Genomic DNA, 12,124 nt, shown 5'->3' with positions numbered 1-12,124 from the left:
TTAAGAAATTCTGTGTAAGGCTGATATCTCGCTTCTGTTCCCAGGGGCTATGGAACACAGCCTTGTTCTGCACCAGCTGCGGTGTAACGGTGTCCTGGAGGGCATCCGCATCTGCAGGAAAGGGTTCCCAAACAGGATTCTCTATGGCGATTTTAAACAAAGGTGTGTAATAAACATGTTCTATATGCTTGGGGATGAGATGTACGAACACTGGAATTTGAGAGGGAGAAAGATTCGTATGAAAAGACCTATTTCGAAAGAACAGATATGGACCTCCATGTAAACTGAACAATCTACCATTTGGCCAAGTTATATATATTTGTTTCTTCCATGTTTTTCTCTGGAATTTATCTGATATACAAAATGGCAGGAAAAGCTCTGACTGAAGAGTCAAGAGATCTAGATTCTAGACTGCTCTCTAGCAATGTGACTCCGAGCTAGTTCCCTCATCTCCTGGGACCTTGGCCTTCTGCCTATAGGAAGAGAGGCCTGAACTACATGTTCTCCAAGGTTTGTGTCTTTGCCAACAGTCTGTGATGATTTCCATGTCTACAATGCAGATACCGAGTGCTGAATGCCAGTGCAATCCCTGAGGGACAATTCATTGACAGCAAGAAAGCCTGTGAAAAGCTTCTGGCATCCATTGATATTGACCACACTCAGTACAAATTTGGACATACCAAGGTAATGCATCAGTTCTGACAGATGCTGGCCTTTTCGTCCTCTTGACACAGCTTCTCTAGGAAACTGACTCATGTCACCCTTCTGCCCCATAAGGTGTTCTTCAAGGCTGGCTTGCTGGGAACCCTGGAAGAGATGCGGGATGACCGCCTGGCCAAACTAATCACCCGGACACAAGCTGTGTGCAGAGGGTTCCTCATGCGTGTGGAATTCCAGAAGATGGTGCAGAGGAGGTCCAGCAGGGTCTTTGTTCAGACATGAGCTCTTTGGGGAAGGGGAGTCTCTCTCAGAAATAAGCAATGTCTTGTTTTTAGGGAGTCCATCTTCTGCATCCAGTACAACATTCGCTCATTCATGAACGTCAAGCACTGGCCCTGGATGAAACTCTTCTTCAAGATCAAGCCCCTCCTCAAGAGTGCAGAGACTGAGAAAGAGATGGCCACCATGAAGGAAGAATTCCAGAAAACCAAAGATGAACTCGCCAAGTCGGAGGCAAAAAGGAAGGAGCTAGAGGAAAAACTGGTGACTCTGGTCCAAGAGAAGAATGACCTGCAGCTCCAAGTACAAGCTGTACGTGTTTAGCAATCTTTTTTTTTTTTTTAACTCTTCTAGATTTGATTATTTATTTAGAAAAATTGAGTTATTGGTGGGGATTTTTGCTTTTTAGTTGAAATGCTTCATAAAGAACTTCATATATAGTGAAATACTGGAATGTCGCAAACCTTATATCATTCAACGAAGTTATTATTCTTTTTTTTTTAAGGAAAGCGAAAATTTGTTGGATGCTGAGGAAAGATGCGATCAGCTGATCAAAGCCAAATTCCAGCTCGAGGCCAAGATCAAGGAGGTGACAGAGAGAGCTGAAGATGAGGAGGAGATCAATGCTGAGCTGACGGCCAAGAAGAGGAAACTGGAGGATGAATGCTCAGAGCTCAAGAAAGACATTGATGACCTTGAGTTGACCCTGGCCAAGGTTGAGAAGGAGAAGCATGCCACAGAGAACAAGGTATTCTTATTGTAGGTGTGTCTAGCTTGATATAGTCATTGCAAACTAAACTTTAAGCTTATAATTGCTTGCGAATTCTTCTTAGGTTAAAAACCTTACTGAGGAACTCTCTGGGTTAGATGAAACAATTGCAAAGTTAACCAGAGAGAAGAAGGCCCTCCAAGAGGCGCACCAGCAGGCCTTGGATGACCTCCAAGCTGAAGAAGACAAAGTCAATTCTTTGAACAAAACCAAGAGCAAACTGGAACAGCAAGTGGAAGACGTAAGTAAATAATGCTCATCGGGAGTCCCAGAACTCCAGGGTTGGAAGAGCCCTCAAGGGTCCTCTTGCAAAGCATTTGTTCCCAAAAGGAAATGGTGCCTTTTTCAGCTGGAAAGCTCCCTAGAACAAGAAAAGAAGCTCCGAGTAGACCTGGAAAGGAACAAAAGGAAATTGGAAGGAGACTTGAAGCTTGCTCAAGAGTCCATATTAGATCTGGAGAATGACAAGCAACAGCTGGACGAAAGGCTCAAGAAGTATGCCCTTCAACCACTGGCTTCCATTTTGCAAGTTACTGTGTATTTTGTCTTCATGCATTCTACATTTCTCTTCACAGGAAAGATTTTGAATATTGTCAACTTCAAAGCAAAGTGGAAGATGAGCAGACACTGGGCCTCCAGTTTCAGAAGAAAATCAAAGAGTTGCAGGTAGGAGCCCTCTGCATTTCTCTCTTCCATGTGAGGCCACTTACAGTGAGCTGGGTGCTGTCTGCTATAAGCCATTTAGAGAAAGTGGGCAAGACTGTGGGGCCACCTGCCTCATGGTTCCCTTTCTGCTAGGCTGGCCTGGCCATGATGAACCATTTCCCCAAAACATCTGATTAAATACTTTAATCCATAATTAAAGTATTTAAGTTAACAACTAAAAGTTAACATTTAGTTGGTGGAAAATGTTCAGGTTTGGTCACTGCAGGAGTAATTACCATGTTGGGGCAGAAAAAATTCCTGTGAAAGGAAATTTGCAGTATTCATTGGAGGGGAGTCTAAGACTCAGTTTGTCTAATGGGAAGGGAAACCAGCCTGTTCTTGGCAATCAGAGTCCCCGCGGTGAACCCACTGCCCACGGGGTGAACGGCTGCCCTCCACAGGCTCGAATTGAGGAGCTGGAAGAGGAGATAGAGGCGGAGAGGGCCACCCGCGCGAAGACAGAGAAACAGCGCAGCGACTATGCCCGGGAGCTGGAGGAGCTGAGCGAGCGGCTGGAGGAGGCGGGAGGCGTCACCTCCACGCAGATAGAGCTCAACAAGAAGCGGGAGGCGGAGTTCCTGAAGCTGCGCAGGGACCTGGAGGAGGCCACACTGCAGCACGAAGCCATGGTGGCCGCGCTGAGGAAGAAGCATGCGGATAGTGTGGCCGAGCTTGGGGAGCAGATTGACAACCTGCAGCGGGTCAAGCAGAAGCTGGAGAAGGAGAAGAGCGAGTTCAAGCTGGAGATCGATGACCTCTCCAGCAGCATGGAGAGTGTGTCGAAATCTAAGGTGCTGCGCGGGGTGGGGGTGGCTCAAGGCTTTCCATCAGACACACTCCGTGGTCATTGAAACCTGACTTTGCTGACTGACTTTGCTCCCCTTTCTGAATCCTTCAGGCAAATCTGGAAAAAATCTGCCGAACCCTGGAGGATCAGTTAAGTGAGGCCAGGGGCAAGAATGAGGAAATTCAGAGGAGCCTGAGCGAGCTGACCACACAGAAGTCTCGTTTGCAGACCGAGGCTGGTAAGCCACGTGCAGAAAACCCGTGGGGCCAAAACCTCCTGGCACCCAATGGGCGTAGCTGGCCAAAACCAAGGGCAGGGTGTGTTTGAGGGAGAATCTCTAGGGAAGCATCTTTTCAGGAGAGAAGAAATTGAAATAACTCATAGAAAGAGCCATTTGAAATAGCCTGAAGGGAGAGAACATTGAGAGTTCAGTAAGAATAAGAGAGAAAGAGGAGTAGACCAGAATGAGAAGGGGCTCAAAATATCATCTCATTCAAACTCTTTCAAAATTAATATAAACTTGCATCAGACAGACTCTGATGGGCAGAAATGAGACTAGAAACTAAGAGCCAGGGCCTTGATACTTCTTAACTCAGATATTCATTGTCTGCGTCCAAGTTTTTGAGACTAAAGAGAGAAACATGGCCAGTGTTTAAAGGTCCTGGTGTATAATAAAAACATAAGGGAGGCCGGGTGTGGTAGCTCATGCCTGTCAACCCAGCACTTTGGGAGGCCGAGGCGGGCGGATCACCTGAGGTCAGGAGTTCAAGACCAGCCTGGCCGACATGGTGAAACCCCGTCTCTATTAAAAATACAAAAATTAGCGAGGCATGGTGGTGGGTGCCTGTAATCCCAGCTACTTGGGAGGCTGAGGCAGGAGAATCGCTTGAACCCAGGAGGCGGAGGTTGCAGTGAGCCGAGATTATGCCATTGCACTCCAGCCTGGGCAACAAGAATGAAACTCTGTCTCAAAAAAAAAAAAAGTTTAAGGGAATGTTATTTGGAGTTTTCGCCTAGAAAATGTGGCTTCACCCAGCCCTGGTGCATCCTCACAGGTGAATCCATCCTCGGCTGGCAGTCACAGCCAAGACAATGAAGAAAAGAAGTTTGGTAGCCACATTTTTTTTTTTTTAGACAGAGTCTCACTCTCTGTCACCCAGGCTGGAGTGCAATTGTGTGATCTCGGCTCACTGCAAACTCCGCCTCCCGGGTTCAAGCGATTCTCTTGCCTCAGCCTCCTGAGTAGCTGGGACTACAGACGCATGCCAACACACACGGCTAATTTTTGTATTTTTAGTAGAGACAGGGTTTCACTGTGTTGGCCAGGCTGGTCTTGAACTCCTGACCTCGTGATCCGCCTGCGTCGGCCTCCCAAAGTGCTGGGATTACAGGCGTGAGCCACCGCACCCGGCCTATGGTGGCCACTTTTACCATGTTGGGGGATTCACGTCTGGAGCCATAAAGCCCCATTCTATGTTTTTCTCTTACCTCTATGTAAGCATATAAACTTGAACTTACCCTATTCCCCCAAGAGTCTAACTAGAGATATAAAGCTCTAAGTATTTCCCTATGTATTTGTCGATAACAAATCAATAAACAGCTGGAAACACCTGCCACTGGGGAGGTCTGATGGGAGTTATTAGGTGCTCCTGGTAACGTTTACATTTACAGTTCTTCTCAATGGATTTTTTTTTTGACAGACATCAGTCCCACCTTCCAGTAGTTTACAACAATATCTTTTTTTTTTTTTTTTTTTTTGAGATTGAGGCATGATCTTGGCTCACTGCAACCTCCACCTCCTGGGTTCCAGTGATTCTCCTGCCTCAGCCTCCCAAGTAGCTGGGACTACAGGTGCCCATGACCACGCCCGGCTAATTTTTGTTTTTAGTAGAGATGGGGTTTCACCATATTGGCCAGGCTGGTCTCAAACTCCTGACCTTGTGATCTGCCTGCCTCAGCCTCCCAAAGTGCTGGGATTACAGGCGTGAGCCACTGCACCTGGCCTACAACAATACCTTATCAGTTCTGCTTTCAGTTTCCTTTTCATGAACCATATACCTTCTCCCTGAAGAAGAAACCATATCTTATCATTTTCTGTCTCCCCAGATCTTAGCACAGTGCCCTACACATAATAGAAAGTTGGTGAGTGAATGAGTGAATAAATGAAATGAAACTATTTCCTTCTGGACACAGGTGAGCTGAGTCGTCAGCTGGAAGAAAAAGAAAGCATAGTATCCCAACTTTCCAGGAGCAAGCAAGCCTTTACCCAGCAAACAGAAGAGCTCAAGAGGCAGCTGGAGGAAGAGAACAAGGTACACCATTGAAGGAAGACTTCTTTGCCCTTATTTTTAAATATCACCTGTAGGAGGAAAAAATAAAAGGCAACTTCATTCAGAAGGTGGTGATAGAAGGGACACACTTGGATTGTATCATGCACCTGGCACTAAATATATCAGGTGCTCTTCTCTTTTTAACTTCTGCAGGCCAAGAACGCCCTGGCGCACGCCCTGCAGTCCTCCCGCCACGACTGTGACCTGCTGCGGGAACAGTATGAGGAGGAGCAGGAAGGCAAAGCTGAGCTGCAGAGGGCGCTGTCCAAGGCCAATAGTGAGGTTGCCCAGTGGAGAACCAAATACGAGACGGACGCCATCCAGCGCACAGAAGAGCTGGAGGAGGCCAAGTGCGCAGCTCTGTTTGCTTTTAGAAGAACTACTTAGGAATGAATTCGATGAATTTATTTTTATTACTAGGCGTTTCCCCATCTCATGTGTCTTTAAATGCGGTGCTGGGCCATTAGAGGGACCTGGCGTTAGCACATTTTATTAAAACAAACAGCTTTGATCTTGGTCAGACACAAGGCAAGTTATTGATCCCAGATTTTGAGTAGACAGGAAATTCTCCTGGGCGTATAAAAACACATGGGTGTCTGAATCACATAGATTAGTGATTCCAACTTGATGAATAGTGATGTTCAAGTGGATGGAAACTGAAATAACAGCTGCTTCTCTTTCATATTCTTTAAGGAAAAAACTTGCTCAGCGCCTTCAAGATTCCGAGGAACAGGTTGAGGCAGTGAATGCTAAATGTGCTTCACTGGAGAAGACCAAGCAGAGGCTGCAAGGAGAGGTGGAGGATCTGATGGTTGATGTTGAAAGAGCCAATTCCTTGGCCGCCGCTCTGGACAAGAAGCAGAGGAACTTTGACAAGGTGTGGGGTCCGCTGTGTGCTGGGTGAATGCCATGATGTAAGGGATTCCTAGCAGCCGTGGAAGGAGGAGAATGCATCCCGGACCTGACTCTGCCCTCACCAGCAGTGTGGCCTTGGGCAAGTCCCTGAACTTCACCGGGCTGTAGTTTCCTCATCTGCAAAACAGAATGGGAATGGGCTGGGGGTAGAGGTCCCTTTCAAATGTTGTCCGTGGAAACAAACCAATTTCTACAATGTCCGTGCAGTCCTAAGCATTTTTCCTTTCCGTACTACTGGTCTGTCTAAGCTGAGATCCTATTGGGAGGCTTTCTGGAAGCCCTTCTTTCAAGATGGCAGATAAAGTTGATTGGAACCAATGCTTTAATGAAATATTTAGAAGTACAGGGCCCTTTTTATATTAGGAAAAGGACAATTATGCCCAGCTAATTCCTTCTCAAAGGATCTATTTGCTTTTTCAAGATGGCAATTGTTCCTGACTCATTACCTTGAGTACATTTATGGAACAGAATCTTGATTAGCCCAATAATCGACAACAAGGAGCCAGGCAAGTGATGCCAAGTGTAGCCCTAACTCTGCATTTAATTTAGTTATTTAGTATTTTGTTAGAAACCTAGAGGAGAGCTCAGAAACGGAGAGAACTTCCGTCCGGTGTTTCAGGTGTTGGCAGAGTGGAAGACAAAGTGTGAGGAGAGCCAAGCAGAGCTGGAGGCATCCCTGAAGGAGTCCCGCTCCTTGAGCACTGAGCTCTTCAAACTGAAAAATGCCTACGAGGAAGCCTTAGATCAACTTGAAACTGTGAAACGGGAAAATAAGAACTTAGAGCGTAAGCTATTCGAAACCCTCTGAAACCTCCTCCTTTCATGCTCTATTGCTCGAGAGCATGCTGGCGTGGGTGTGGCTTCATCACTCAGTTTCCTGCACACATGTGTGTTAATGCACATGCAGAAAGTGTTCACCATCTGACGGGTTACGTTTTAGCCTCTCTCTGTACAATATCTTATCTCTAGGAAGCAGGAAACCTTAGGATTATAATAAACCAGGTAAAAAGCATTGAGTCAATGCTTTGCATGTCTGGAAACCCACGCAGAGGCGCTCATATGCAACTGAAACTTACTTCTTTACAGAGGAGATAGCAGATCTCACAGAACAAATTGCTGAAAATGGCAAAACCATCCATGAACTGGAGAAATCAAGAAAGCAGATTGAGCTGGAAAAGGCTGATATCCAGCTGGCTCTCGAGGAAGCAGAGGTGAGTGCTGGGAGGCAGGCTCAGGCGCAGATGCAGCCATGGTGAGCCACGGCCAGGGAGGCTGGCTGCTCCATGCTGTGTCTCCATTTTTGCCTTTGTCAAATCACAGTCCTAATGCCTGCTGCTTTCCCGTCACACAGCAAAACTGTGAGGCTGAATAATACCTGTGAATTATCTTAAATTTATTGGAGAAGACTGTCATATTAAATAGGCCTAAAGATGAGATTTTACAAAATATTACATGAATTAAAAATATCTAGAAAGTGCTTTATGCTCCTAAGAAATATGATTTAAACATTATTATTGGTTGATAGTATAATCAAAACCAAAAAGCAATGAAACGTGCTTTTATTTCTGCACTGAAGATAAATTTGGGACTTTTTTTTTCTTGAGACAGAGTTTTGCTCTTGTTGCCCATGCTGGCAATCTAGGCCCACTGCAACCTCTGTCTCCTGGGTTCAAATGATTCTCCTGCCTCAGCCTCCCGAGTAGCTGGGATTACAGGCGGGCACCACCATGCCTGGCTAATTTTTGTATTTTTAGTAGAGACAGGGTTTCACTACATTGGTCAGGCTGGTCTCAAACTCGTGACCTCAGGTGATCTGCCCCCCTCGGCCTCCCAAAGTGCTGGGATTACAGGTGTGAACCACTGCACCCGGCCAATTTGGGGACATTTAAAAAGTGAATTGTGACTATTGTAGGATTAGATTTAGGACTATTCCATTGAAGTTTTGTTATCCTGCAGGGTAGTGGAGCTGGCTCCATACCATCACAGACACTATTTGATTTGCTTTTGTTTCTTAAAGGCTGCTCTTGAGCATGAAGAAGCCAAGATCCTCCGAATCCAGCTTGAATTGACACAAGTGAAATCAGAAATTGATAGAAAGATCGCCGAGAAGGATGAAGAGATCGAGCAGCTGAAGAGGAACTACCAGAGAACAGTGGAAACCATGCAGAGCGCCCTGGACGCCGAGGTGCGGAGCAGGAATGAAGCCATCCGGCTCAAGAAGAAGATGGAGGGGGACCTGAATGAAATCGAGATCCAGCTGAGCCACGCCAACCGCCAGGCGGCGGAGACCCTCAAACACCTCAGGAGTGTCCAGGGACAGCTGAAGGTTTGAGAGAACCCATCGGGGAAAAACCTCTCTCCTCCTCACATACTCAGAAATGTAGGCTGGGCACAGTGGTGCACGCCTGTAGTCCCAGCGCTCTGGGAGACTGAGGCAAGAGGCTCACTTGAGCCCAGGAGTTTGATACCAGCCTGGGCAATATAGCAAAACCTTATCTCTACAAAAAAAATAAAAATTAGCTAGGCATGGTGGCACAAGCCTGTGGTCTCAGCTACTTGGGAGGCTGAGATGGGAGGATTGCTTTCCAGGAGGCAGAGGTTACAGTGAGCTGAGATCACGCAACTGCACACCAGCTTGGGTGACAGAACAAGACCCTGTCTCAAAACAAACAAAACAAAACAAAACAAAAACAAACAAACAAACAAACAAAACTCAGAGATGCAGATGAGGCTCGTGGTCCTAACGCCTCAACTTCAAATAGAATGTTCGTTTTTCTCTGGCTAGGATACGCAGCTCCACCTGGATGATGCCCTCCGGGGCCAGGAGGACCTGAAGGAGCAGCTGGCGATTGTGGAGCGCAGAGCCAACCTGCTGCAGGCCGAGGTGGAGGAGCTGCGGGCTACTCTGGAGCAGACGGAGAGGGCCCGGAAACTGGCGGAACAGGAGCTCCTGGACTCCAACGAGAGGGTGCAGCTGCTGCATACCCAGGTGAGGGGAGGGAGAGGAAGAGAGGCGAGGTTCCAGCCTCATACGCACCTGGTTAACAGCCCTCCTCTTGCCCTAGAACACCAGCCTCATCCACACCAAGAAGAAGCTGGAGACAGACCTCATGCAGCTCCAGAGTGAGGTAGAAGATGCCAGCAGGGATGCAAGGAACGCTGAGGAGAAGGCCAAGAAGGCCATCACGGACGTAAGGCGTCTCCTTCCTGCTGCCCTCGGGCTGCCGGGATTGCATTGCATTAAAGCCCTCACATAGTTAGACAGGTGCGGTCTCCCCCAGCCACACCTGGTGCACATTCTGCTCCCCGAGGGCTCCCATCTCCGCTCAAACTCCCCTGTTCCCTCCTGCACTTTAGAAGAAGGGCATAAGAAAAAAAGGCAGGAAGGGATTATATCCTAGTAGTTCTGCCTGTGGAGAGGTGTGCATGTCTTTCCTTCAACATCTGACTTATTCCAAATATGAAAACAAGAACCTGAGGTGTTAATATCCCACACATTTTTCCCTTCCTGGGTCTCCGAGGCTTTCTCCCGGCGGCCCACCGCGCTAATGGCGCCACCTGCTGCCTGGCGGGAGAACTTTACCTCGAAGCGATTTTGTTGTTCCTGTACAGCCTTAATTCTCCAGAGGCCTTCCCTTAATCTCACTATCCCCAAATCTATGAGGCTGAGTATCAAGTCAGACTACTCTAAGTCTCAAGCTCCTTTGAAAATATATATTGGTGGTAATGAAAAAAGAATTTCCCTGGGGCAGGGGAGAGTTTCAAAGGAGGCCAGCTTAAGAAAGGGAAGAAACTGTTTCCCAGCCTGTCGCTAAAGTTCTCATTGCCTCATTGATTAGGTTATTTTATCTACTGGGTGTAGCTCTGGCCCTCTTCCAGGGTGGCAGAGTGTGCTTCATCACAGTCTCACCCGTTGTCCTTTTTCTTTCTTTCTTTCTTCCCCCACCCCCGAGATGGAGTTTCACTCTTATTGACCAGGCTGGAGTGCAATGGCGAGATCTCGGCTCACTGCAACCTCCTCCTCCTGGGTTCAAGCAACTCTCCTGCCTCAGCCTCCGGAGTAGCTGGGAATACGGGCATCTGCCACCACGCCCAGCTAATTTTTTGTATTTTTAGTAGAGATGGGCTTTCACCATGTTGAGCAGGCTGGTCTTGAACTCCTGACCTCAGGTGATCCACCCGCCTTGGCCTCCCAAAGTGCTGGGATTACAGACGTGAGCCACCGCGCCTGGCCTGTCCTTTTTCTTTAGCATGGTCTCTGGTCCTCCGAGGTCCCCAGGTTTTGACAGTTCCAAGGCACTGGAGCTTCCTCTGCATCCTAGCAAGTCCCATGTGCTTTTCAGGCTGCCATGATGGCGGAGGAGCTGAAGAAGGAGCAGGACACCAGCGCCCACCTTGAGCGGATGAAGAAGAACCTGGAACAGACGGTGAAGGACCTGCAGCATCGTCTAGATGAGGCCGAGCAGCTGGCGCTGAAGGGCGGGAAGAAGCAGATCCAGAAACTGGAGACCAGGGTGTGTGCAGGAGGAACCCCGCCTGCGCTGAGCTTTCCAGCCTCCCAATCACGCTGCAGCCCCAGACTAATTTCCCCACCCTCTCCCCCAGATCCGAGAGCTGGAGTTTGAACTTGAGGGAGAGCAGAAGAAGAACACAGAGTCTGTTAAGGGCCTGAGGAAGTATGAGCGGAGGGTCAAGGAGCTGACGTACCAGGTAAGTGGAACGCAAACGCCATGATCGTGTCCTCTGTGACGTGCAGATTCTCCATCAAACCACAGGAAGAAACACTTTGGCCCAGAAAGCTGCCCATGCCGTGTGCAAATCTGCCCCCTCCTCTCCAGTGACATTCCCACTTTCTCATTCTTAGAGTGAAGAGGACAGGAAGAATGTGCTGAGATTGCAGGATCTGGTGGATAAACTGCAAGTGAAAGTCAAGTCCTACAAGAGGCAGGCGGAGGAGGCTGTAAGTGAGATAGGTGCTGACTGCGGCAGGCAGACCGTGCTGTTTCCCGTGGTGAGTTCTGAGAGAGGCGCGTGCTGATATAACCTGCCTGGGCTCTTTGGTTTTAGGATGAACAAGCCAATGCTCATCTCACCAAATTCCGAAAGGCTCAGCATGAGCTGGAGGAGGCCGAGGAACGTGCGGATATCGCAGAATCTCAAGTCAACAAGCTCCGCGCTAAGACTCGAGACTTCACCTCCAGCAGGGTGAGTCGCTGAGCTGGGAGGAGCCCCCCCCCAGGGACTGTAGAAACTTCTTAGCTGGAAGGAACCTCAGAGAACCCTTTACTTTAGAGCTGGGGAGTCTCAGGCTCAGGAAGAGAAAGTGCTTAAAGTCACTTAGCTGACTGGACCCTCGCTAGAATCCTGGTCTGTGAGTCACAATAAAAACCGCCATCCTGCACATGTACACCATGGAATACTATGCAGCCATAAAAAAGAATGATATCATGTCCTTTGCAGGGACATGGATGAAGCTGGAAGCCATCATTCTCAGCAAACTAACACAGAAACAGAAAACCAAACACCACATGTTCTCACTCATTAGTGGGAGTTGAACAGTGAGAACACGTGGACACAGGGAGGGGAACATCACACACCGGGGCCTTTCCGGGGGTGGGGGCGGCAAGGGGAGGGAGAGCATTAGGACAAACAGCTAATGCACGTGGGGCCTAAAACCTA

At 48.1% G+C, this 12,124-nt stretch overlaps 1 protein-coding gene and 1 long non-coding RNA gene across 6 annotated transcripts in view, besides 2 other annotated features; one reads left to right on the top strand and one right to left on the bottom strand.

The window, feature by feature from the left end:
- MYH3 (myosin heavy chain 3) overlaps positions 1 to 12,124 on the top strand; it is a 49,886-nt gene that overhangs the window by 37,171 nt on the left and 591 nt on the right. For all 4 annotated transcript variants that reach the window (XM_011523870.4, XM_047436127.1, NM_002470.4 and 1 more), the window contains 22 exons: positions 45 to 162; positions 561 to 684; positions 778 to 914; positions 996 to 1,251; positions 1,445 to 1,687; positions 1,773 to 1,949; positions 2,058 to 2,203; positions 2,284 to 2,374; positions 2,815 to 3,204; positions 3,312 to 3,438; positions 5,394 to 5,512; positions 5,684 to 5,880; positions 6,224 to 6,407; positions 7,065 to 7,230; positions 7,532 to 7,656; positions 8,463 to 8,771; positions 9,231 to 9,434; positions 9,511 to 9,636; positions 10,789 to 10,959; positions 11,051 to 11,155; positions 11,310 to 11,405; positions 11,513 to 11,650. In XM_011523870.4, the coding sequence (XP_011522172.1) occupies positions 45 to 162; positions 561 to 684; positions 778 to 914; positions 996 to 1,251; positions 1,445 to 1,687; positions 1,773 to 1,949; positions 2,058 to 2,203; positions 2,284 to 2,374; positions 2,815 to 3,204; positions 3,312 to 3,438; positions 5,394 to 5,512; positions 5,684 to 5,880; positions 6,224 to 6,407; positions 7,065 to 7,230; positions 7,532 to 7,656; positions 8,463 to 8,771; positions 9,231 to 9,434; positions 9,511 to 9,636; positions 10,789 to 10,959; positions 11,051 to 11,155; positions 11,310 to 11,405; positions 11,513 to 11,650 (3,749 nt within the window). The remainder of the gene's footprint in view (positions 1 to 44; positions 163 to 560; positions 685 to 777; positions 915 to 995; positions 1,252 to 1,444; positions 1,688 to 1,772; positions 1,950 to 2,057; positions 2,204 to 2,283; positions 2,375 to 2,814; positions 3,205 to 3,311; positions 3,439 to 5,393; positions 5,513 to 5,683; positions 5,881 to 6,223; positions 6,408 to 7,064; positions 7,231 to 7,531; positions 7,657 to 8,462; positions 8,772 to 9,230; positions 9,435 to 9,510; positions 9,637 to 10,788; positions 10,960 to 11,050; positions 11,156 to 11,309; positions 11,406 to 11,512; positions 11,651 to 12,124) is intronic.
- Positions 5,161 to 5,280: an enhancer, noted in NCBI's record as "active region_11732". NCBI's record gives its function as "activates an Ori minimal core promoter by ATAC-STARR-seq in GM12878 lymphoblastoid cells {active_cell/tissue: GM12878}" and the evidence as "EXISTENCE:reporter gene assay evidence [ECO:0000049][PMID:35858748]".
- LOC124903927 (uncharacterized) lies at positions 6,399 to 10,615 on the bottom strand. 2 transcript variants are annotated; one of them, XR_007065620.1, is made up of 3 exons: positions 10,579 to 10,615; positions 9,483 to 9,666; positions 6,399 to 6,562 (listed from the first exon to the last, which is right to left on the bottom strand). It is a non-coding gene; the product is annotated as an uncharacterized LOC124903927 (long non-coding RNA). The 2 variants fall into 2 exon arrangements; XR_007065621.1 differs by lacking the exon at positions 6,399 to 6,562 and adding an exon at positions 7,650 to 7,831.
- Positions 6,976 to 7,135: an enhancer, noted in NCBI's record as "active region_11731". NCBI's record gives its function as "activates an Ori minimal core promoter by ATAC-STARR-seq in GM12878 lymphoblastoid cells {active_cell/tissue: GM12878}" and the evidence as "EXISTENCE:reporter gene assay evidence [ECO:0000049][PMID:35858748]".

Source organism: Homo sapiens, chromosome 17, assembly GCF_000001405.40.
Source record: "Homo sapiens chromosome 17, GRCh38.p14 Primary Assembly".
Lineage (NCBI taxonomy): Eukaryota > Metazoa > Chordata > Mammalia > Primates > Hominidae > Homo > Homo sapiens.
The sequence above is the reverse complement of the archived record's forward strand: the minus strand, read 5'-3'. Positions and strand labels throughout refer to the sequence as shown.